At 48.9% G+C, this 23,141-nt stretch overlaps 1 protein-coding gene across 4 annotated transcripts in view; it reads right to left on the minus strand.

Moving 5' to 3' along the window:
- GABBR2 (gamma-aminobutyric acid type B receptor subunit 2) overlaps positions 1 to 23,141 on the minus strand; it is a 420,827-nt gene that overhangs the window by 16,641 nt on the left and 381,045 nt on the right. For all 4 annotated transcript variants that reach the window (NM_005458.8, XM_017015331.3, XM_005252316.6 and 1 more), the window contains 2 exons: positions 6,346 to 6,456; positions 1,372 to 1,596 (listed from right to left, as the gene is read on the minus strand). In NM_005458.8, the coding sequence (NP_005449.5) occupies positions 1,372 to 1,596; positions 6,346 to 6,456 (336 nt within the window). The remainder of the gene's footprint in view (positions 1 to 1,371; positions 1,597 to 6,345; positions 6,457 to 23,141) is intronic.

Below are 23,141 nucleotides of genomic sequence, written 5' to 3' on the forward strand. Positions count from 1 at the left end.
GCAACTCTGTGTCCTGTTCTTTCCTTTTTTGGAGGGGCGGGTAAAGGGTCTCACTCTGTCACCAAGGCTAGAGTGCAATGGCGCAATCTTAGCTCACCACAACCTCTGCTCCTCCAGGCTCAAGTGATCTTCCTACTTCAGCCTCCTGAGTAGCCAGGACTACAGGTGTGTACCACCACACCTGGCTTTTTTTTTGTATTTTTAGTAGAGACAGGGTGTCACCATGTTGCTCAGGCTGGTCTTGAACTCCTAGCCTCAAGTGATCCTCCTTCCTTGGTCTCCCAAAGTGCTGGGATTACAGGCACGAGCCACCATGCCTGGCCACCTTCCTTTACTTTTGAGACTCACTTAGGTCAGGCTTCCCTCAACACAGATCACCCTACTGCAGGGACTCCTAAGAAGAAAGGCCTCTGGCTCACCCACCCATTGCAAGGTAGGATGATGTTCGAAAAATTTCTCTTCAAGGTGGTCCTAAAGGTCAGCCCTTCAAATAAATGGAACATATAAGTGGCTACTAAAAACAGTTATTTTTTTGGACCCAACAATACTACTTCTGTGATTCCACATTAAAGGAATAATTGGAAAAAAGGAAACTGTGTTATGCAGAAAAAATGTTCATTTCTAAAATCCAATGCTCACCAATATAAGATCAAGTGGGCAAGTAAATTAAGGAAATTCCCTCAATGACAGTTATGAATGTGGGAAAATACAAAGGACAAAACATTAAGCAAAGAACAAAATGTGTGCTATAGTTATGGCCATATCTTAAAAAGTATCACCATAGGCTGGGCGAGGTGGCTCATGCCTGTAATCTCAGCACTTTGGGAGGCCAAGGCCGGAGGATCGCTTGAGCCCAGGAGTCCAAGACCAGCTTGGGCAACATAGGGAGACCCCGTCTCTATAAAAAATTTAAAAATTAGCCAGGCGTGGTGGTGCAAGCCTGTAGTCCCAGCTACTTGGTAGGTTGAGGCAGGAGAATTGCTCGATTCCGGGAGGTTGAGGTTGCAGTGAGCCGAGAGATCACATCACTGCACTCCAGCCTGGGTGGCAGAGTGAGGGAAAAAAAAAAAAGGCATCATCTCCTAGCCATTAAGAAAAAGGCTGGAAGGAAACACATCAAAAACATTAACAGTAAAGAACACCCCAACAAAACATGACCAGTGATGATTTTTGGGTGGTGGGACTATGGGAAATTTCTGAAAAACCTGGCCTTTACTACTGTGCATTTTCTGAATTTTCTATAATGTGAATTGTCTTCATCATAAAAAAAAAAAGGAATGGGTAAACCTTTTAGAGAATGGAGAAAAGCCAGCAATGCCCCTGTGCTGGAGTCAGAGGGCAGAGGCCAGGTGGTGGGGCCAGCGCCTGTACCTTCGGCACGAATACCAGGCAGAGGGTGATGGTGCTGCAGAAGATGATGACCAGAGCCACGATGCAGAACTGCACATTGGGCTGGTCCCGGGTCAGGAAGGAGACAGCGGCCCCGATGATGCACATGATCCCCACGTTGTAGACACTCATCCCGATGTACTTGCTGTCGTTGAGTGCGGGGATGCTGACGTTGCGGGTCTCCCAAGCTAAGAAACAACCGAACAACTGAAATGGTGAACAGAAAGGGGAGAGATGATCGTTACCAAGGGGTGGCACACACAGGCTGCTCTGAGAAGCTGTGGAGTGGAGGGTTACTCAGGAGGTGGGCTGCAGGGAGGGAGGGTCGGGGGCCTTGCTGTCAGCCGGGTCTTCTGGATGTCACCATCTGTCCCCACTTGTGGCCCTGCTGAGTCCTGCTGAGCAAATGCAGACTGGGGATGTGACAGCTGTCCAGTTCTCCTGCACCCCTATGACTGGTTCATGCACAGACCTGCCCAAGGCTACAGTGGAAGGGAACTTCAGATAAGATCTCAGCTTTCTCCCTCACTCTCTAGGGAATACTAATATCCAGAAGGGTGAAGAGGTCTGCCCAAGGCCGCACAGCAATATGGTAGCAAAAATGGGCTGTGTTTTTAGAAATTCACTCCAGTCTTTTTTCTATTAAACTAAGCAGATCCCTTGTGTCTGAGACTTCTATTGTCCCCAAGCACACACAGACACCCAGAATAGCGACTACATTTTTCAGCTGCCCTAGAGGCTAGGCGTGGCATATTGCTAGCTTCTGGACAATGCCTGTAAATAGAAGTGGTGTGCACATGTTCTGGGAAGTGTCTTTAAAGGGAAGAGGTGTTGCTTTTCCTCCTTCCTAACAGCTGGAGTGGAATGTGATGGGTGGAGCTTCAGCATCCGTCTTAGATCACAAGGCTATGACGTGGAACCTGTGTAATGATGATGTGGGGGCTGCAAGATGCAAGGAACTGAGATTCTGGGAGCCTTACCCCAGCCCTAGACTGCTTACCTCTGGACTAGGTTTACCTGAGAGGAACATTTCCTGTCTCTTCAACCATTATTATTTTGGGTTTTTCTGTGACTTGCAGCTCTACTCCTAACCAATAGATGTCTTGACAGAAATGGACAGGGTAGAGGCCAACTATGATCTGAAGCAGGGTGTCGAGGGTTTAACCCTTATGGGTGGTCTAAGGGGAGGGCGGGCTGCAGGGACAGCTCAGGTGGGTGTAGGGCAGAATGGTGGTGTGGTGGGCAGGAGGAAGAGCCAAGATGGCTGACTGGTACAGGGACCTCTGCTTTAGTGCAGCCCCTCCAAGAGGCCTTCTCTCTCACAAAGGCCCCTCTTCCCTTCGGCTTCAGCAGGGCAGCTTCAGGCGTCTGACAGCTGCATGAACCATTTAACATCACACTGAGGACCTGTGTTTAGAGATTCGATGGCAGCATAACGCTGTGTGGTAGAAGCAGGGCTGGACACAAGGCCAGGGGATATGGAATCTGCTCTGCCATCTGTTGGCTGGGTGACCTGGGCAAGTCACTTCACCTCTCAGGACCTTACTTTCAACGTCTGTGGACTGGGAATAATAATAATAATAATATCTATGTCACAGGGTTTGTGTGTGGATGAAATGGGAGGATGGATGTCAAAGCACTCTGTAGACTGAAATGTTCTGTACCAAGGTAATTTCAAAGCTATTTGTAATTGATCTTATTTTATACAAGCATGATTGTTTTCCTCTCCCTTGTCTTTTATCCTTTCTCTAAATGTGTTATCTCACAGCCTGATTTATTCCTTTTAAAAAATTCCTTTTAAAATGGGGAACCAGGCTAGGCATGGTGGCTCACACCTGTAATCCCAGCACTTTGGGAGGCCAAGGCAGGTGGATTATCTGAGGTCACGAGTTTGAGACCAGCCTGGGCAAGGTGGTGAAACCCCAACTCTACTAAAAATATAAAAATTAGCTGGGCATGGTGGTGCATGCCTGTAATTTTAGCTACTTGGGAGGCTGAGGCAGGAGAATCGCTTGAACCCAGGAGGCGGAGGTTGCAGTGAGCAGAGATCCTATCAGCCATGCTACTGATGGGCCACCAAGCCACTGTGAAGGTCTCCACAATAAATGTGGGCTACTCTGGGGACCTGGTGGTTGGCTGTAAATCTCTAAAGAGTGTCAGGAGGAAACACAAAGTAACTTGTTCTTAGGCCCTCAAAAAGTAGAATGAGGGTTCATGGGCACAAGTTACACTGAGGAAGATTTCCGCTGAGGATTAGGAAGAACTTTCTAGAAAAGCACTCCATCTGTGGGTTGAATGGTGACTCTAAAAGATATGTCCATATCTTAATTCCTGGAAACCGTGAATGTGACCTTATTTGGAAAAAGGGTATTTGCAGATATAATGAAGGATCTTGAGATGAGATCATCCTGGATTATCTGGAAGGACCCCAAATCCAATGATAAGTGTCCTTATAAAGGACACACAAAGGAGACCCTTGGGGAGAAGAAGAGAAGGCCATGTGGAGACAGAGGCAGAAACTAGAGTCATGCGGTCACAAGCCAAGGCATGCCTGGAACCATCAGGTGCCGGAAGAGGCAAGGACGGATTCTCTCCTGGAGCCTTCAGAGGGACCACAAGTGTCTGTCTGGATTTTGGACCTCTGGCCTCCACAACTAGGAAAGAATACATTTCTGTTTGTTTTGTAAGCCACTGTTTTGTGGTAATTTGTTATGACAGCCAAAGGAAACGAACACATCATCCACGAATGGCACAGGCTCCTTTGAAGAGGGCGAGCGCCCCATCACTGGAGGTATAGAAGCAGTTAGTCAATGAATGCTTTGGGGGATGCTCAGGGTGGGCTGGGGATTGGGGCCAAAACATCTGGCAGTGGGGTGGACCCAAAGGGCTGTGTGTGCTTCTCCCAGCCTTGAGATTCTGTGGCTCTAAAATAGAAGGATTAGGGGGATGGCAGTGGGATTTTAGTCATAAACCTTAAGGGCCAGGAGGCTGGGGACAGTTCCTTGCATGTTCTAAATGGTGAAGCATTTGTGCTATTAAATATAGCTTTTGTTGACATGAGCTGGCTGAAGCTGTTAGCTTCACGGGAAGACATACAGTCATTTCTCATCTCCAACCACTTTGGAAGTAGGTGGGAGAAGACAATGAATGATCAAAACATTACAAATAAATCCAGTTTAAAGATGTCAATATGATTCATCGTAATCTATTTTCACGGAATGAGTCTCAGAATCAAGGAACATTAAGGATGGAAGGATCACGGAGACAGTCTAGATTCTCTCTATTCAACCAGGGTCAGGGAGGCACAGGTCATTGACATGACATGCTTTCCCATGACAGGGAGCTTGTCCTTCTTAGGGGCTCCATGGCATCTATGGACAGGGCTGCCTGTTACAAGAATCCATCTTTACATGGAGATGGAGTCTGCCTTCCAGCAACTTTGCTTGGGGCTGACGGTTCTGCCCTCAGGTCTGTGCCACCCATTGCTGAGAGCTCTTCCAAGTTTCTGGTGACTATGAGTGTGTCCTTGTCCAAACCCAGGACCTTTGGCCAGTCCTCAAGTTCCTATTTCTATATTGGGTACCTCCTGTGGACACCCCCAGGGTCATTACCTTGTGCTCAGATTGCAGCCCAGTGGTCCTGTTGCTTGCATGGGAGCTCAAAAGACTTCTATGGAAAACCATAAAAGGGTGTCAACTGGTATGAAGTGGGGACCAATCTTTGTCTAGGGTCCTCTTACATGCCCTTCTGGCATGGCCTCTCAAAGGACACAGGATCAATCACTAACACTTCAGTGATGCAGCAGCAGGTAAGAATGCATTTGAGCAGCACAAGAGATTCCAGTTTATTTGACTTTTGGAGAGAGGGCTTCATTTTTGGCCTCTAAGTGGGGTCAAACGGGGGTGAATGGTGACTTAACCTCCCTGTGGAAAGATCTGAGGAGGGCGCAGTGACCAGCTTTGTGTCACTAGATGGCTTTCAGTGGAAGCATGGTTTATATAGGATATAGGAGAGAAGATTCAAGGATCAACCTGGGCTGAAATATGGTGGAGCTGACCTTTCAAGTTCTTCCTAATGTTGGAATTTCACAACGTGGGCTTGGTATGTGATCTTTGATTTTTTTTTTTGAGACGGAGTTTCGCTCTTGTTGCCCAGGCTGGAGTGCAATGGCCTGATCTCGGCCCACCGCAACCTCTGCCTCCCGGGTTCAAGCGATTCTCCTGCCTCAGCCTCCAAAGTAATTGGGATTACAGGCGCCCACAACCACACCCAGCTAATTTTGTATTTTTAGTAGAGATGGGGTTTTGCCACGTTGGTCAGGCTGGTCTCGAACTCCTGACCTCAGGTGACCCACCCACCTCGGCCTCTCAAAGTGCTGGCATTGCAAGCATGAGCCACAGCACCTAGCATGATCTTTGATTTCAAAAGATGAGTAAAGTGGAAAGAGTGCTGGGTTTGCAGTTTGGAGGTTACTAGGCAGCTTTTGGCAAATCATTTAACCTCTCTGAGGCTTACCCTCCTCATCTATTAAATGGGGATGATCCTGCCCACCTCCCATGGACTTAAGAGAGGGTCCGCTGAAATGCTGGACATGAACATGCACTGGATGTCGGCAGACTGCTCTTCCTGGGAGTAGTGCAGTGACAGCTGTAAGGCACAGCCACGAGTTTTTGGGTTACTCTCTGGTTAAGATCTTGACTCTGCCACTTACTAGCCAGATGACCTTGGGCAAGACACCAAGCCTCAGTGTCATCAGTGAAATGAGGATGTTATTTGTACCTATCTCATAGGGTTGCTGCAGGAACTGAGATAGCATGTGGCAGGCACTGAGTCCACAGAGAGTAACTGCTTAGTCATGGAGGCTCTGTTTATTTTTACATTGATGGAGGCCCCTGGGAGACAGAGGCCCAACAAAGAAGTGTCCCCCCTCAACACTGTCTCCTGCTCTGCACCTACCATGAGAAGTCCCTTGTAGGCATAGACGATGCCAAGCCAGATGGTCATATGGGTGTTCTCACAGTGCTCCAGGAGAGGGCGGATGGAGATATCCCGTCCTGCTGGGTCCGGCTGTGCAAAGAGAAAACAGAGACTCAGGGATGGCACAGGACACTCTTCCAGCAACTGGGTCCTTATCTGAGAGCCCTTTTCCCTCCTGTGAGCCATAGCCAATGCCACTGTTCAGCAGGCCATTTGGACCCCATCTCTGTGTTCCTAAGGTGTGGAGCCCAGGCCTCAACTAGCGTTGACTGCCTTCTGTTTGTTGGTAGCAATTCAACCCTGCACTCCAGTTCTCTGCATAATTCATGCCTCTCCAATTTGAGTCAGAGCTCCTGAGGGTAGGAACTGGGTCACTTCTTTGCCCCTAGGATCTAACACAAAACCTGGCCCAATGCAGGTACCGCTAATATTTGTTGTGAGAATGAGGTATAAAGTTAGGTCAGGAGGTCTTCAGGTATCTCTGGGGTTACCTCTGTGCAACTGGAGATATAGGATATACTGGCCTGCCCAAGCCTGGGGCCTGCCAAACCCTTCTGAGGAGACCCTCTTGCCCACAGCCCCACTGCTGGAGCAGTGATGGCAGCCAGGTTGTGTACCACATGACTCATCCTTGGCCAGAGCTGACTGGACAAAGAATGGGCACCTGACCCCAGGCAGCCAATCCAGAGGCTTGTCAGATACCTATGAGGTTTCCTCCTACAAAGTGCTCTGCCTAATGAGGGTTGATGGAGAGGATCCCTCCTGAGCACATTCTCTCTGGCAGGAACTTGAATTGGGAAACTCTGGGAGATAATTGGCCAGATGGTGGCAACAAGACAAAAAGACACCCAGGGAATGAAACAACATCTACTGTACATTTATTTTTTTCTGAACCATTTGAGAGTAAATTGCAGATATCCTGACCCTTCACCCCTGAATATCCTAGCATATATTTCCTAAGAACAAGGGATTCCCTTGCACAATCACATACACTTACTAAATTCAGAAAATTTAACACTGATACAGTGTATTATCTAATATACTAGCCATTTTCAGATTTTGCCAATTGGCTTAATAACGTCCTTTAAAGCAACTGTGGATTTTCCAATGCAGGATCCAATCCAGCATCATTATTGCACTTACGTGTCTTTGGTTTCCTTTAATCTCAAACAATTCTTCAGCCTACTTTGGTCTTTCATGTCATTGTTTCTGAAAAATCTAGTTCAGTTATTTTGTAGAAGCCCCTCAATTTGGATTAGCCTGAATGTTTTATATTCAGATTTTATGTATTCTTGTCAGGAATCCTACATAAGTAAGAGTCACATCAGGGGGACGCGTTGGCACTCTGTGATCACTTGGTTGACATGATTTCTGTCAGACATCCATTTCAAAGGTATCATTTCCCCATTTGTAATTAATAAATAATCTGTGGGAGCTACTTTGAGACTGTGTAAGTATCCTGTTCCCCCACAAATGTTCACGCAGTGGTTTCAGCAACCATTGATAATTCTTACCTGAGTCATTTATTACTTTGGTAGCTGCAAAATGGTGATTTTCTAACTCTACCATTCTATTTAAACACTTGGCATTCTACTGCAAAGAAGAGCTTTCCTTTCCTCCCATTTATTTATGTATATCAGTATGTTCCTTTTTTTTGAGATAGAGTCTCTGTCACCCAGGCTGGAGTGCAATGTCGTGATCTCCGCTCACTGCAACTTCTGCCTCCTGAGTTCAAGCAATTCTCATGTCTCAGCCTCTTGAGTAGCTGGGATTATAGGCGGCCGCCACCATGCCTGGCTAATTTTTGTATTTTTATTAGAGATGGGGTTTCACCATGCTGGCCAGGCCGGTCTTGAGCTGCCGACCTTAGGTGATCTGCCCGTCTCCGCCTCCCAAAGGGCTGGGATTACAGGCATGGGCCACCATGTCTGGCCTAGTATGTTCCTTTTTAATTCAATGTCTTATAATCCTTTGCTATCTTATTCATGTTGATGCTTAAATTTTTCCAGATTGGGCCAGTGGAAAACAACTTCATGCTGCCTTCTATGTTTTTTCCACACATCACCATAATTTTTTTGAGCACTTTCTTACTTCTTGGCACAACGATTCCAGCACTCCTTGAACTCTTCTTGCTCCCAGCCTTGCAATCAACCATTTCTCCAAGGAGTCCTTGTTCTTTTTAGTGGAGAATGGTGTTTAGAAACCAAGATGTAGGCACTTGATGGTCTCACTGTTCCTAAGTTGTCACTACTTCTAAGCTCTTTTAAAAATAAATCTGTCTGTCTGTCTGTCTAGATAAGATCCAACACTGCCGAGTTCTTGCTTGCCTTCCCCATTCCATATTTTCATCACTCTTCTCCAACAGTGGAATCCCTGCCTTCGAACAACATCAAAATATTTACTGATTTGTTCAGTCCTACATTAGACACTAAATAGTTGCAAAATTGATACATCCATACAACTGTCAAGCACAAACTTACTAAGTAAAGTTGAAGATTCCTTTGCAATCTGTTTGCCACTGGGAGTATATCACCAAATAACTGTGTTCAGGATGTTATATTCTGATGGAGTTGTGCTGTTGAGGCCCAGGGTAAAGCCACACTCCTGAGGGTAAGGCATGGGCATCCCCAGGGTCAATCACTAGGAAGAAGGTACTTTGATGGGACCCAGGGGTAGAAGGCAGGTCTTAGACGGGTAGCGTTTAGAAACTAGTTTTTTGGTCTTGCTCTCCAGGTGTGACCTTTGAAGCAGGCAATGGACCTGGGCTTCTGTGAGGTGGGGGAAAGATGGTGCTCCCACGTGAAAGCAGGAGGAGCTAGGAGGGGTGGGACCTGGGGGTTCAGGCCATTTTTTGACCAGATCATCCTGCTGTGTGTTCTCTCAGGCTTGATTTGCCTTTCGCTGTCCCAAGCCACAGAAAGCCTTAGCTCAACCTCTTTGGGTCCATGTGCATTGAGTCCACACTTGGGCTGGAGTGCTAGAGGGGATAATGTGGTTTCCTGAAGGCTCTGCAGTAAGAAACACCCCGGAGGGAGGTGATCTCCAGAAACTAAAGTCAGAGTGGCCAGGGGTAGAGATTTCCCCTCCACTGCTACCCACCCAGGAGCTGGGCTGCATTTTATTAAGGGCAATGGGGGTTTCCTGACATCCTTTCATTGTTTAATTAAGGTGACAGAACTGGCTTGGTCCCAAGGTCAACTGACTTAGTGGCAGAATCTGGGTTTCTCCAGTGTGTGACAATCAGGCCAACATCAGAATGCAGTAGCACGGACCCATTCCAGTTATGCATGAATGGCAAACCCATTAACGGTGATCCTGTCTTTTCCTCTACAATGAACAGCAGTAATTTATGATGGAATCTTAGATTCTCGGTGTGGAGAAAATTAGTTGTGTCATACAGCATTGCTCAATGGGATGAAGTGCTCTTCACAGGAAACTGACAAGGCTTGCCTGGCTTACACACTGCAGTGGCAGGGAGCCCCTCCCTCCTGCTCCCGGTGAGGTAGTACACAGTGCTTTCACGGAGCCACAGCCTTCTCCTCCTGGACCTCCACTCACCGGGGCTCATCTCTCCCCTGGGGTTCCCCAGAATAATTCCAAGCTCTCTCTTTGAGTCTGCACACCTTCCACAGGAGGGAAGATCTACAGAGAGGGGACACACCACTGTGCCTTCCTCCACCCAGGCCACCTTGTCAGTCAACCTGCTGGAGTTTACCACTGCTCTACAGATTTACCACTCCTACAGGCTTTGAATGGAGCTCAGTACTCCAGGCAGTGCTGAGCAAGTCAAGTGCTGAGCAAGTCAGCTTGACCTCTTTCTCTGGGTCTCCTTGGCTTTCTATATAATCTTCCACCAGTGATTCATGTGTTCCTTCAGGTTGGACCAAGACCCATCAGGTAGTTTTCACAGAACTGCTGCTAGCCCAGTCTTTCCCCCTGTGCTGCTGACATTCCAGCCTGGCTACCTTTACCTTTCTCTTAGCTGCTCCCCTTCCCCCGCAACCCCACCTTCACCGCTCTGACCTCTCGGAATCTTGAAATCTGAATTCTTATCTTTGGCCTTTCAGTTCCGCACCCATCTCAGCAGCCTTAAGCACAGTCCTGGCAGGAGGGTAGCAAACAAACACGATGGGTCCACTGAGAGTTCATGGAAGTCAGTGGTCCTGGGGTGGCCGAGCTGCTCCCACACCCACCTTCCCCATATTCAGGTGCTGATCCAGAAATAAACTGCAAAAATGTTCTGGTCACTAATGTCATCCTCATGCAGCCCCATCTCCCTGTCACAGGTCAGAGGTTACGGTGGCAGGGGTTGGGATAGTTTTGGGAGTGATGATGTTCCTGTTCCTGTGAGGCTGGCAATGGGCATCTGGAAGAAAATCAAGTGACTCCTGCACTGAACCACAAAGCAGACTGTACAAGCTGTAGGTGTTGTCTAATCCATCCAGATTCTACCTGGGCCTGGAGTTCGCAGTGGTCTGTGCAGCCACACATGGGGAGAGATGCACCTGAGCATGCAACCTGCAGGGGCAGGTGGGCTACCCACCCCCCAACCCCCAGTGCTTCCTTGTCATTGTCGTGCACCAAAGCAGCACCACTAGAGGGCACCAAAGAGCCACATGAAGGGTCCAGCCTGGTGGTGGTGGATTACCCTCTGCTGGGGACACAGAACTACCAACTACTATAGATCGGTGGGGCCGGAAACGGTGAAGCTGTCAGCAGCATCTTGTGCTACTCTGGAAGGCACCCACTGGCCTTACATGAGGCCAGATTTCCAAGCACCATGGGGGACTCCCCCACTTCTGGAGCAGCTGTTGGGGAAGTATTCAGGCTATACTTGGGCACTGCACTCGGCCTGTTCCCAGTGTGGACTGTCCACGCAGGCCAGGGCCAGCGAGCACAGGGCACTGACCCCTGCAGACATCAGGGTCAGGGCCTAAGCCCGGGCTTCGGCCTCTTCTCTTCTGTACAGGACAGCATTTGCATTGCCCTTAGAATGTTTTTCTTGCTCTGGATAGCTGGCCTGCAAAATTTTCAACTGGCTTTTTTTTTTTTCGAGACAGAGTTTCACTCTTGTTGCCCAGGCTGGAGTGCAATGGCGCAATCTCAGCTCACTGCAACCTCTGCCTCCTGGGTTCAAGCGATTCTCCTGCCTCAGGCTCCCGAATAGCTGGGATTACAGGCATGCGCCACCACGCCCAGCTAATTTTTGTATTTTTATTAGAGACGGGGTTTCTCCATGTTGGTCAGACTGGTCTCGAACTCCCAACCTCAGATGGTCTGCCTGCCTCAGCCTCCCAAAGTGCTGGGATTACAGACGTGAGCCGCTGCACCCGGCCACTTTTGTTATTTTTCTTCCTTACTTGTTGCTCTCTTTGGCAATTGCCTAAGAAATCATTCATTCATTCATTCATACAGTGAATAACTGTTAAGCACTACCATTTGCCAGATACTGTTCTGGGCATGCAGCAATAACCTGGATAGACAAGAGCCCTGTCCTCATGGCTCTCCCATTCCAGTAAGACCAGGACAGTTCCCATGAGAGGCAGCCTCAGAGAGAGAGGGCTGACTTCACCAGATAACATCAGCCATAAGGACACCAAGAGCTGCCTTATCATGAGTGACAATGATGTGCTCACTGCTGGGTTGGGAACTCTACACCCGTCATCTTGTTGAAGTCACAAAAATCCAACAAGGTGTTATACTTATTTCACAGATGAGGAAACAGAGTCACAGAGAGGTGAAGTAACTTGCCCAAGATCTCCAGCTAGTAAGTCTCGGGGCTGAGATTAAACCCAGGCGTGTGTGACTCTCAAACCAGCACTCCCTCCTCCTTCACCATGAGCCTTCCCTGATGTGCCCTCCTCTCACGTGCATCATTGTGTCAAATCGGAGGAGACAGTGGGTGTAACCGGCTCTATAAACTGCAAAGTGCTTATTTGAGGGAGGAAGAACTTAATCGTTAAATATTCAACAGTGGCTTCCCCTGAAGCCCCCAGAGCTTTAGGGTGAAGGCTGCGCTTTGGTGCTGCGAGCTGAACTCAGGCTGATAAAATGCTCTTTCCTGCCTGGCAGGGCACCGTGTCCAGCAGTGAGGCCACACCGGTTTGGGACGGCCAGAAGATGGAAGTGCTCACACCTGACTTCTGGTCAGGCTGCTGCTCAGCAGGAGGCACGCAGAAGCTGCCGGGGAAAGCCTCTCCCATCTGTGCGGCAAAAGGAGAGCAGCTGGCCCGAGAGTCCCTCTGCATAATGCAATTACTCACAATGTAGGTCAGTGCCCCCTGCAAATATCCCGCTCTGTCCGGCTGCACAAACTGACAGGCAGGGAGTTGGAGCATAAGTGGAGGTGTTGAGGCCTGAAAGGTCAAAAGCCTTGGTCCTGCTACAGACTTGCTGGGTGATCTTGGGCAAATCCCTGCCCTTTTCTAGACCTCAGTTTCCCATTTGTGAAGGGAGCCCATGGGTTGATTTACAGTGTAGTTAATGGGAGTCTGAGTCATTGGGAGATGACTCTATCTGTCCTACATTTCATGACTGTATTTGTCCTACATTCATTCATTCGAAATCGACTCCATGAGGATTTGTCATGTGCCTGCTGTGTGTCATGCACCATGTTGGTGTGGGGGTACAGGATGAATGAGACCAACATGGCGCTTGCCTTCTTGGAGGGTACATTCCAGTGGAACGGGGGCTGCTCAACAAACACAGGCATTCAACAAACCACACAGTACAGTTATGAATACAAACAGTGATAAATATTCCTAAAGGAAACTACGGGCACTTGGAGGGGTGCTAATGAGGGAAGTTGTTTCAGATCAGGTAGCCTGGGATGGCTACTCTGCAGTGGTGACATTTAGTCTGAGACCCGGCAGATAAGAAATGCCAGCCATGTGAAAAGCTAGGGGAAGAGCACGCATGGCAGAAGGCATGGCAAGGGAAAAGAACCTGAAATGCAAAGACATCAGCATATTTGAGGAACCCTCATGTGGCCAGAGAGGCTGAAGTGTGATAAGCGAGAGGACAGCATGGCTTCTCACTCGATAATGTGAGCACAAAGTGCCTGGGGAGCTTGTTAAAATGCAGATTCAGGTGCGCGGTCCCGGGTGGGGCCTGGGATGCTGCATTTCTAAGCAGTTCCAGGGGAGGAGCTGATCCAGGGGCCACCCTTTGGGCAGCAAGGCCTTAAAGGATTTGAAACAGTAGGGTAATATTTGGTTCTCAGCTTAGAAGCAGTCTGGTTAAGAACGCAGATTCTCTTTGTCACCCGCACACCTCTGACACAGAGTGATGACTTAGCGCAAGGCCAGACTTGACAGGGCTCCTCTGTATGTTTCTGACCCTGGACCAGACCTTGACAATCATGTGCTTCTGTGTGTCCTGTGCAGGGCTGGCCAGGGCGGTTAGGGGTGGGCGAGGCAACAGGCCCAGGCAGGGAGGATGGGGAGTCCAGATGGTGCACATGAGGAGGGCCACGCAATTCACCTCTGATCACGGGGCTCTTGGCGCGGGTCACTCGGACCTTTTATTCCTGCCACCACTGTGGGTGGAAAGGGTTCCTAGGCCCAGCCCAGCCCGGCCCGGCCAGTGCTCCTTTGAGGGAGGGGGTGCTTTCCACCTTCTGACCAGCTCCCAGAAGTTGGCATGCAGAACTTTCTCCCTGGGCCATACCTGCCTCTTTTCTTTTTTCAAATTCCAAAGTTGATTTTTAAAGTATATGGTAAAATTGGTAGGTTTTTCTGCTGGGGGTGAGTGTAGGTGTGCATGTAAATGTGAGTTTGTGTGTGTGTGTGTGTGTGTGTTGGGGGTGTGTGTGTGTGTGTGGTGTGTGTGTATTAGGGGGTGTGTTTGGCCTTCCCAGACTGCATTTCAGAGTTTTGAGATGGTTCTCCTTTCCTGGGAAGGCAGGTGAGTCAACATGGCCTCTTTTGGGGTGCCAACAAGGATGCCTAGGCAGGGAGGGGAAAGGGCCCTGGACTCAGATCCCAAGTCCACCTCTTGCCAGCTGTGTGACTTTGCACATGTCTCCCAGCCTCTCTGAGCCATAACTTCCTCATCTACAACCTCCCAGGGCTGGCAAGATGATCAAAGGAGGTGCGGTGTGACTCGCAAGCTGGAGAGACGGGAAAGCCTGCTCCTGATGTGGAAAGCATCATTATTATCCCCCACTGCAGACAGCCACAGAGCGCTGGAGCTGGGAGGAACCTTCCAGATCCCTCAGGGGCTGGACTGCTTATCTCCACAGCAGCAGCCCCGCACCTCTGAGGCAACAAAGCTAGAAGCTGTCATTTCAAGTAAGCATTTTTTTTGTAGAATGTTATGATTACAAGTTTGGGTGATTTTTTTTTTTTTTCCAGAATCAGAGATCTGGAAAGGACATGTAAGATCACCCACCAGGGTTTCTCAACATGGGCACTTCCAGCCACTTTTCTTTGGGGATGCAGAGAGCAATTATTTGTTGGGAGGGACTATTCTGTGCTGGGTGGGGTGCACAGAACCCCTGGACCCCGCGTACTAAAGGCCATGAATGTCCTCTAGTCACTGTGACAGCCCTGATCTCCCTCCCGTCTCCCCATTTCCAAACACGAATGGGGTTCTGCATTGATCCAGTTTCTCTTCTTATAGGTGGAGAAACGCAGGCGCAGAAAAGAACCTGGAACTAGCAGCTGTTTTGGCAGCCAGATGAGATGCCCCCTGGGAGAGCCATGCCTCTTGTGGAAAGGGCCTGCTCCTCCTCACCTTCAGGAAGTTCTACTAAAATTCAGTAATCTTACTAGGCAGTAAGATTCAGGACATAGGCATGGGCAAGGACTTCATGTCTAAAACACCAAAAGCAATGGCAACAAAAGACAAAATTGACAAATGGGATCTAATTAAACTAAAGAGCTTCTGCACAGCAAAAGAAACTACCATCAGAGTGAACAGACAACCTACAAAATGGGAGAAAATTTTCGCAACCTACTCATCTGACAAAGGGCTAATATCCAGAATCTACAATGAACTCAAACAAATTTACAAGAAAAAAACAAACAACCCCATCAAAAAGTGGGCGAAGGACATGAACAGACACTTCTCAAAAGAAGACATTTGTGCAGCCAAAAAACACATGAAAAAATGCTCACCATCACTGGCCATCAGAGAAATGCAAATCAAAACGACAATGAGATACCATCTCACACCAGTTAGAATGGCGATCATTAAAAAGTCAGGAAACAACAGGTGCTGGAGAGGATGTGGAGAAATAGGAACACTTTTACACTGTTGGTGGGACTGTAAACTAGTTCAACCACTGTGGAAGTCAGTGTGGCGATTCCTCAGGGATCTAGAACTAGAAATACCATTTGACCCAGCCATCCCATTACTGGGTATATACCCAAAGGACTATAAATCATGCTGCTAGAAAGACACATGCACACGTATGTTTATTGCAGCATTATTCACAATAGCAAAGACTTGGAACCAACCCAAATGTCCAACAACGATAGACTGGGTTAAGCAAATGTGGCACATATACACCATGGAATACTGTGCAGCCTTAAAAAATGATGAGTTCATGTCCTTTGTAGGGACATGGATGAAATTGGAAGTCATCATTCTCAGTAAACTATCGCAAGAACAAAAAACCAAACACCGCATATTCTCACTCATAGGTGGGAATTGAACAATGAGATCACATGGACACAGGAAGGGGAACATCACACTCTGGGGACTGTTGTGGTGTGGGGGGAGGGGGGAGGGATAGCATTGGGAGATATACTTAATACTAGATGACGAGTTAGTGGGTGCAGCACACCAGCATGGCACATGTATACGCATGTAACTAACCTGCACAATGTGCACATGTACCCTAAAACTTAAAGTATAATAATACAAAATAAATAAATAAATAAAATAAAATTCAGGAACTGCTTGAGGGGTAAGGGGACCACTGGTGCATTTGTGACCCAGGAACAGGACCTGGAGCCTACAGGAAAGGCCTGGGAAAGGGCAGGAGTCTCCAGCAGGCTCAGGACCTTCCCAGGACTCGGCCCTGGGGGGTCTGAGGCAATATTTCCTGGATCTCAATACCCAGGAGGTCCCAGCTGACGTGGGACAAGAAACTATTCACATGGTCACCCGATTTTTGTTGAAGGCACATTATTGAGTGGACGTTTCTGCTTGCTGACCTCAGGCAAGCAAATCCCTTCCCCTCAGAGGCCCCCTCCATGCCCACATTCAGTGATTCCATGGTAGCAACACTAGACAAGAGCAGACACTCCCAGGCCTGGTTGCTGGGCTCTTGCCTGTACCCCACCCTCAGCAGGATGGGGCAGCCTGGACCCCTCATGCCCCAACCTGGCAGAAGTCATCAGGGTGGCATTGCCCGGGAGTGCACGTGGGTGCAACCAGTGGCTGAACCACCTCTGTCCTGAGAGTGGAGCCCTGCTTTCCTCCTGTAGTCCAGGGACAAGCCTGACCTACCAGCAGCAGGCAGAGCCAAGGTGGGCGGTGGGGACCACTGTAGGACCCTGACCCAGCAGGCAGACGATGGGGAGAATGATGACAGGAGACAGAGAAAGACAAAAGGAGCTGAAGAGGAACCTGGTCCCTCAGACATGGCATGGTACAGTAAGATCCTGACAGCTGTCAATTAAACCCGGAGAAGAAATAAAGTAAGAACATGACGACAGCACAGTTGTGTGGCTTATACTTGGCACTAAATGACTGAGAGAGAAAAGCACCTTGCCCTTACTTGCTTCCTTGATTGCCTTCTCTCTTGCATGCTTTTGCCCCCTTCCCCTGCCCAGGGCCACAGCCCAGCCCTGGCCTGAAACTCGTCCTTCCCTGCTTTCTGCTTCTCAGCCTCTTGGTCCCCTCTTTCTTCCCCTTCAGCAAGCTTCTTGAAAAAGGAGTCCTCACACTCCCATCCATCATCTTCCCCTCCCACCGCTCTCCAGCCTAGTTCTGCTGAATTGCTCCCCCATCATTTCCAGGGAACTCTTGGTGGCCAGATGCAGGGGATCCTATTTGGTCCTCTGCTTCCAGGCCCTCTGGGCTGGCCCAGAGGGGGCACCAGGGGCACCCTCTACTCCTGCCTAGCCTCTCCCAGTCTGAATTTATTGCCTTCTCCCTTAAACCTGCTGTTCCTCTGGGTTGGCTAGCTCAGAAAGCAGCCCACTGTCTGCCCAGGTGAGACCAGAACCTGGCGTCTCTCCAGCCTTTCTCATTCTTCAATGCCCACCCTGGCTCCAACATCCAGCCGCCTGTCACATGCAGGTGAATGCACCTGTGTGAAGTTCTCTCCCCTTTGCCTTCCCTCCTGCCCCAGGCTCTTGCCCTCGGTCAGGACCTGGTCTCCTGTCTCTTCCCAACCCATTCCTCCTCTATGTTGCCTCCAAGTGATCATCCGCGCCGTGCTAATTCCATGCTCCAAGACCTTCAGTGACTCCCCAGACTGCAGTAAAGACATCCGGGCCCCATGATCCTGGCTCCCATCCCCCTCCATGATCTGACCCCCCCATACCCGTCCAGCCTTGTTCCCCATCCCCCAGTCTCAGCCATGAGTCAGTCCATCATCTCTCCTCCTATGACACAGTCCATCATCTCTCCTCCTGGTGCCCTTATTGTGGGGTTTCCTTGCCCTGGGATACCCTTCTTCATAGGACGGTGAAGTTCGCATCCATTCCTCCAGGCCTCTGGGCTCCTCCCACATCCACTGCCCAAAACATCTTCCTTCCTGTCTTTTTCGGGAGGACTTAGTCTGTGTTAGAGGTATCTGTGTTGGACTCTTTCCTGTTCCGCTATCGCCCCCACCCCTGTCATCTGTACTTCCTCTGACCCCCTCACATTTACTAACTGCTCACTGTGGGCCAGATTCTGTGCTGAGTGTTATATACACTGTCCCATTTCACCCAATCAATCAACCACCGCAGACACGAGCGCCAGCACCACACCATTTTAGGGGACATTAAACGAGGCTCCGTAAGGCTGAGTGACCCGCTCCACGTTACACAGGAGTGAAGGGGAGTGGAACTGTGACTTGAACCCAGGTCCGCCTAACTCCTCTTGAAACCTTTTCTCTAAACCACTAATCTAGATCTTCCAACAGTGTGCCCTGGTCATGGTGTGGCGGGACTGGGTAGAAGGGCCCCACGACAGTGCTCTCCTCCGCCTGCCTTGGGGCACATGGATAGGCCAGGCACTGCCAGCCACGAGCAGGCTCTGTGGTCACCAGGGTGCTGTGCTAATATTGTGTGCTGTGATGTGAAAGAGGATGGAAAGCCCTGCCATAAATTAGACTTGATTGTGGCCCTGAGCTGGCAAGGGCAGCCCTCTTCCCCATAGTTCCTGCCTGGCCTAGGAGTGCCTGTTCAAGTGCCCCACCCAGCTGCATCTTGCCCTGGGCCAGACTCCTCTGGCCAAGGAGCCTCTCTGTGGGGGAGAGGGTGGTGGTTGGCCTTGGGCTTGGGGTCAGATCTGTGGCCCCTAAAGTGAGTAGAGCTCCCAGAGGGCCCTGCCCAAGCTGTCCAGCTCCAGTCCTCGTCCAGGCTGGCATCCCTCCCACCCAGGCCTTGGACCTCCCAGCCTAGACCTTGAGGCAGCTGAGCTGTTCCCACTCAGCCCTGGCATGGCCGTGCAGAGGCTGTGTCTCTCATCACCTTCTCACAGGGCTCTGCTGAGAACTCAGTGCACAACCTGGTTGGCTGTTCATGGTGACTCCCTGCTGTCAAGTCCAAGCCCAGCTTGGCGTGAATGGAGAGGTGACAGAACTAGAGTGCGAAGATTCTCTAAATCAGGACTCTGTACCACGTGGGATCCCGGACAGAGCTATTCTACTCTACTACAGCTGAGTGTGTGCACTCAATGTCAAGGTTTTCAGTTTCATTAGATCTGCCCAACCACCCTAGGAGGTTAGTAGGGCCATCAGCCTCCCTCACATTTTGCGCAGGAGAATACTAAGCCCAGGAGTGGGCTGGAACTTACCCAAGCTCACACATCAAGAATTCAGGGCAACTGAACCTCGAGCATCTTGACTGCAGGCTCAGGGCCCTGTCGGTTTTTCATGCTCCTCCCTGGGACTCTGGCTGATTCTGGGACTCCCAGCTCACACGGAGGAAGGCAGGCTGCTGCCTGGATGAACTTCAAGTGTTCCTTCTCCTGTTCCCTGCTACATCTTAGATTTTACAGTGTGTCCTTGGCTAAAGGCAGCCTGGGCACACTGCAGTGCCCTGGTGTAACGGACAGCCATGGGCCTTGCACTTGAACTAGGGTCTGGCCCCAGGACTGTGACATGCTCACCCTGAGCCCCGGGTTCTCCTCTGAGAAATGCTGGGGTCACCTGCTTTGAGGGCTGTTCTTAGTATGAAGCAAGAGCACAGTAAGACAAAAGACTACAGAGCCGACACACACACACACACACACACACACACACACACACACACACACACACAGAGTAGTGCATTCCAGAACAATATACTCATTTCATTTTCCTGTTGTCATTCAGAGAGGCGAGTGCACTGGGAGCCACAAAAGTGCAATGTTGCAAAGACTTTTCCAAAACAGGATGCGTAATGGCTGCTGTGGCCACTGCTGGCGGTGTGTGGGGATACCTGGGTAGCAGCAGGCCACCAGAGAGTGTGCATCCCTCCTTCTGTGCTCTGCAGTGGGGCTCATTTTTCTGGGCCAGGTTCTTGCCTGCCTGCAATCCTCCTCTGATGACGGAGTTACCAGTGATGCTCAGGATGCTCCGATTTCATTATAACTATAAACCTGTTCTCAACTCATCTCTCATATACCCTCTGGCAACAAATATATAGAAATGAACCTATAAACTTTGTACACACACATATACACACACACGCACACACATATAAGTCTTCTGAGGTTACATTATTCTAGTTTATAGGGTTACGCAACTTTCGGGCTTGAAGAGACTCAAGTGTCTTCTCTCATATCTCTTCCTTAGGGTACAGTCTCTGCCAACGGCCCACTGTCCAGTCTTTCTTTGCATACCTCTGGTGATGAGACACTCACTACCTCCTAAGGAAGCCCAGTTCATTTATGGTTAGATTGGACTTAAATGTGTGAACTTTCTTCCTTATTTTGAGCTGAAATCTATACTTCAGGGACTTTTTCCACTGTCCCAGGATCTGTCCTCTGGGGCTCTTCCCTTGGCTCTAGGACAGCAATTCTTTTTTTTTTTTTTTTTTTTTTTTTTGAGACAGAGTCTTGCTCTGTCACCCAGGCTGGAGTGCAGTGGTGTGATCTTGGCTCACTGCAACCTCTACCTCCTAGGTTCAAGTAATTCTTCTGCCTCAGCCTCCTGAGTAGCTGAGATTACACGTGCATGCCACAACACCCGGCTGATTTTTATATTTTTAGTAGAGATGGGGTTTCCCCATGTTGGTCAGGCTGGTCTTGAACTCCTGACCTCAGGTGATCTACCCATCTCGGTCTTCCAAAGTGCTGGGATTACAGGCATGAGCCACTGCACCTGGCCTAGCACAGCAATTCTGAGGTTAGAGACAGCAGTTGTGCCCTCTGAGCCAACTATAGGTTTCCAAGGGGATCTGAGTAGGGCAAGACAGTTGTCCCCTTCCCATGCCTAGCACCCTGTTCACCTGGGGCTGTTCCTGAACTTGCCTTAGTTATCTGGCAGCCAAACCACAGCATGGAGCTTGGCAGATTGCATGGTTAATGTCCACATTTATGGAATTTTGGGGCTTGCAATAGTCACACACACACATGCACATGATGTTCTCACACATATACATGCACAAGCACAAACACACACCTCTTTGGTGTTCTTCAAAGACCTAAGGGCCCATGCATCCTATGATTCAGAACCCCCAATATTTTCCTCTGCTGCCCAGGAGAAATACTCTAGTGACCTCCTTGTCATCTCGTCCCTCATGACCTTTGAGGATATGCAGCCTTGTGCGAAATTCCAAAAATAGGCTACCAAAGGCTACTGATAAGTGACCTTAATGATCTCACGACAAGTAATTGGGAAGAGCCAAATGAGAGAAGGGAGTGGCCAATCCAAAGGAAAGATGGGGCCGGGGGAATAAGAACAGGAATGCAGATTTAAGGAAAGTTGAAGTTGTACATTTTTTTCTATGAACCAAAGAATGTGAGGTAGCTTTGGCACAGCAAAACAGTGAGCATATAACTGCCTCTAACTATAATTTAGCATTTGTCACATATATAATCTCATGTGCTCCTGTAATAATCCCATGCAAGGTAGGACAGGAAGTATTAGACCTAATTTACAGAGGAGGAACCTGAGGCTCAGGGAGGCTCAAGGAACTGACCAAAGAAAAGAGAGAGTGGTAGAGGCTGATGCCACCAACATCCCATCTGCTCATGCATATTCTCAGCTTTTTTATAATTAGGTGGTGGGTGTGGGAGATCATGTGACTAAGTCTGGCCAATGGGCTGTGGGTGGAAGTGACATTTGACTCTTGTGGGCTGAAGCACTGAAGACCTGTTGCAAGATTGGCCTGCTGCCTTGTGTTGTGGTCCAGAACACAGAGTTGCCTCATGGAAGATGGCTGCCCTGGAGAACCACCTGGCTTCACAGCTGGATTTTGTGTGAGTGAGGAATAAACCCTTGTTGCACTGAGCTGCTGAGATTTAGAGGTTCCTTATTGGACCTGGCCAATACAGAAGGGCAATTACATTTATTTTTATGTCATCACGAGTCAGGTACTTTGCTAGGCACTCTGTATATGTCACCTCATTCAATTTTTGAAACTATTTTGTGAGAAAAGTATTATTTCCTCTTTGTACTATATGGGGAAGCTGAGGCACAGAGCAGTAAAGCCTACTTGCTCAGGGTCATAGAGCTACAAAGGTGTGGGCCTGGGCCCTGAATCTGGGTCTGTGTGATTGGAAGGCCTCGATGAACTCTGGAGATTTGCAGAAACAGATGGCTACTGTGTTTCAATACCCTGTTGGGCTAAACGCTTCTTTTGAAGATGGAAGACTGTGCAGATTGCTTTCTCATTCAGATTTTATGCCTGAGTAAAATCCTTGTGCTATGATTTATTATAGCAGCACTGATTTTCCAATTTTAAGACAACAATGCAGCTTGAAGTAAAATGGAAAGAAAACATGGAAACATTTTAAACCTGTGGTTTAGATCCTCATTATGTCTTGCGGGAACTGTTCGGGGGCTTCCTCAAACCTCTGCCTCCAGTCTCCCTTTATCCTCTCGACTGCTGGTGTCACTTTCTAAAACAGAACCTAAGCCTGCCCCCACCTGCTCAAAACCCACAGCGGCTCCTTGGCCCCTCCAGCAGCACTTCCTGAATTCAACTCCTTAGAATAGGTAGGTATAAATATGCTATATATTTTAATTTTGTGCTAAAATTTTAAATTGGCCATTTCTAAAACTTCTTTGGCTAATGGTCCCATAGCCAAAGAAGTTTTGGAAATGCAAATTTAAACATTTTTAACAAATAAAATTAAATTTATTAACTAAAAAATATAAGGCCGGGCGCAGTGGCTGATGTCTGTAATCCCAGCACTTTGGGAGGCTGGGGCGGGCGGATCACTTGAGGTCAGGAGTTTGAGACCAGCCTGGTCAACATGGTGAAACCCCGTCTCTACTAAAAATACAAACATTAGCCAGGCGTGATGGTGTGCACCTGTAATCCCAGCTACTCGGGAGGCTAAGGCACAAGAATCGCTTGAACCTGGGAGGTGGAAGTTACAGTGAGTCAAGATTGCGCCACTGCACTCCAGCCTGGGTGACAGAGTGAGACTGTCTCAAAAAAAATAAAATAAAATAAAAT

Source organism: Homo sapiens, chromosome 9 (genome assembly GCF_000001405.40).
Source record: "Homo sapiens chromosome 9, GRCh38.p14 Primary Assembly".
Classification (NCBI taxonomy): Eukaryota; Metazoa; Chordata; class Mammalia; order Primates; family Hominidae; genus Homo; species Homo sapiens.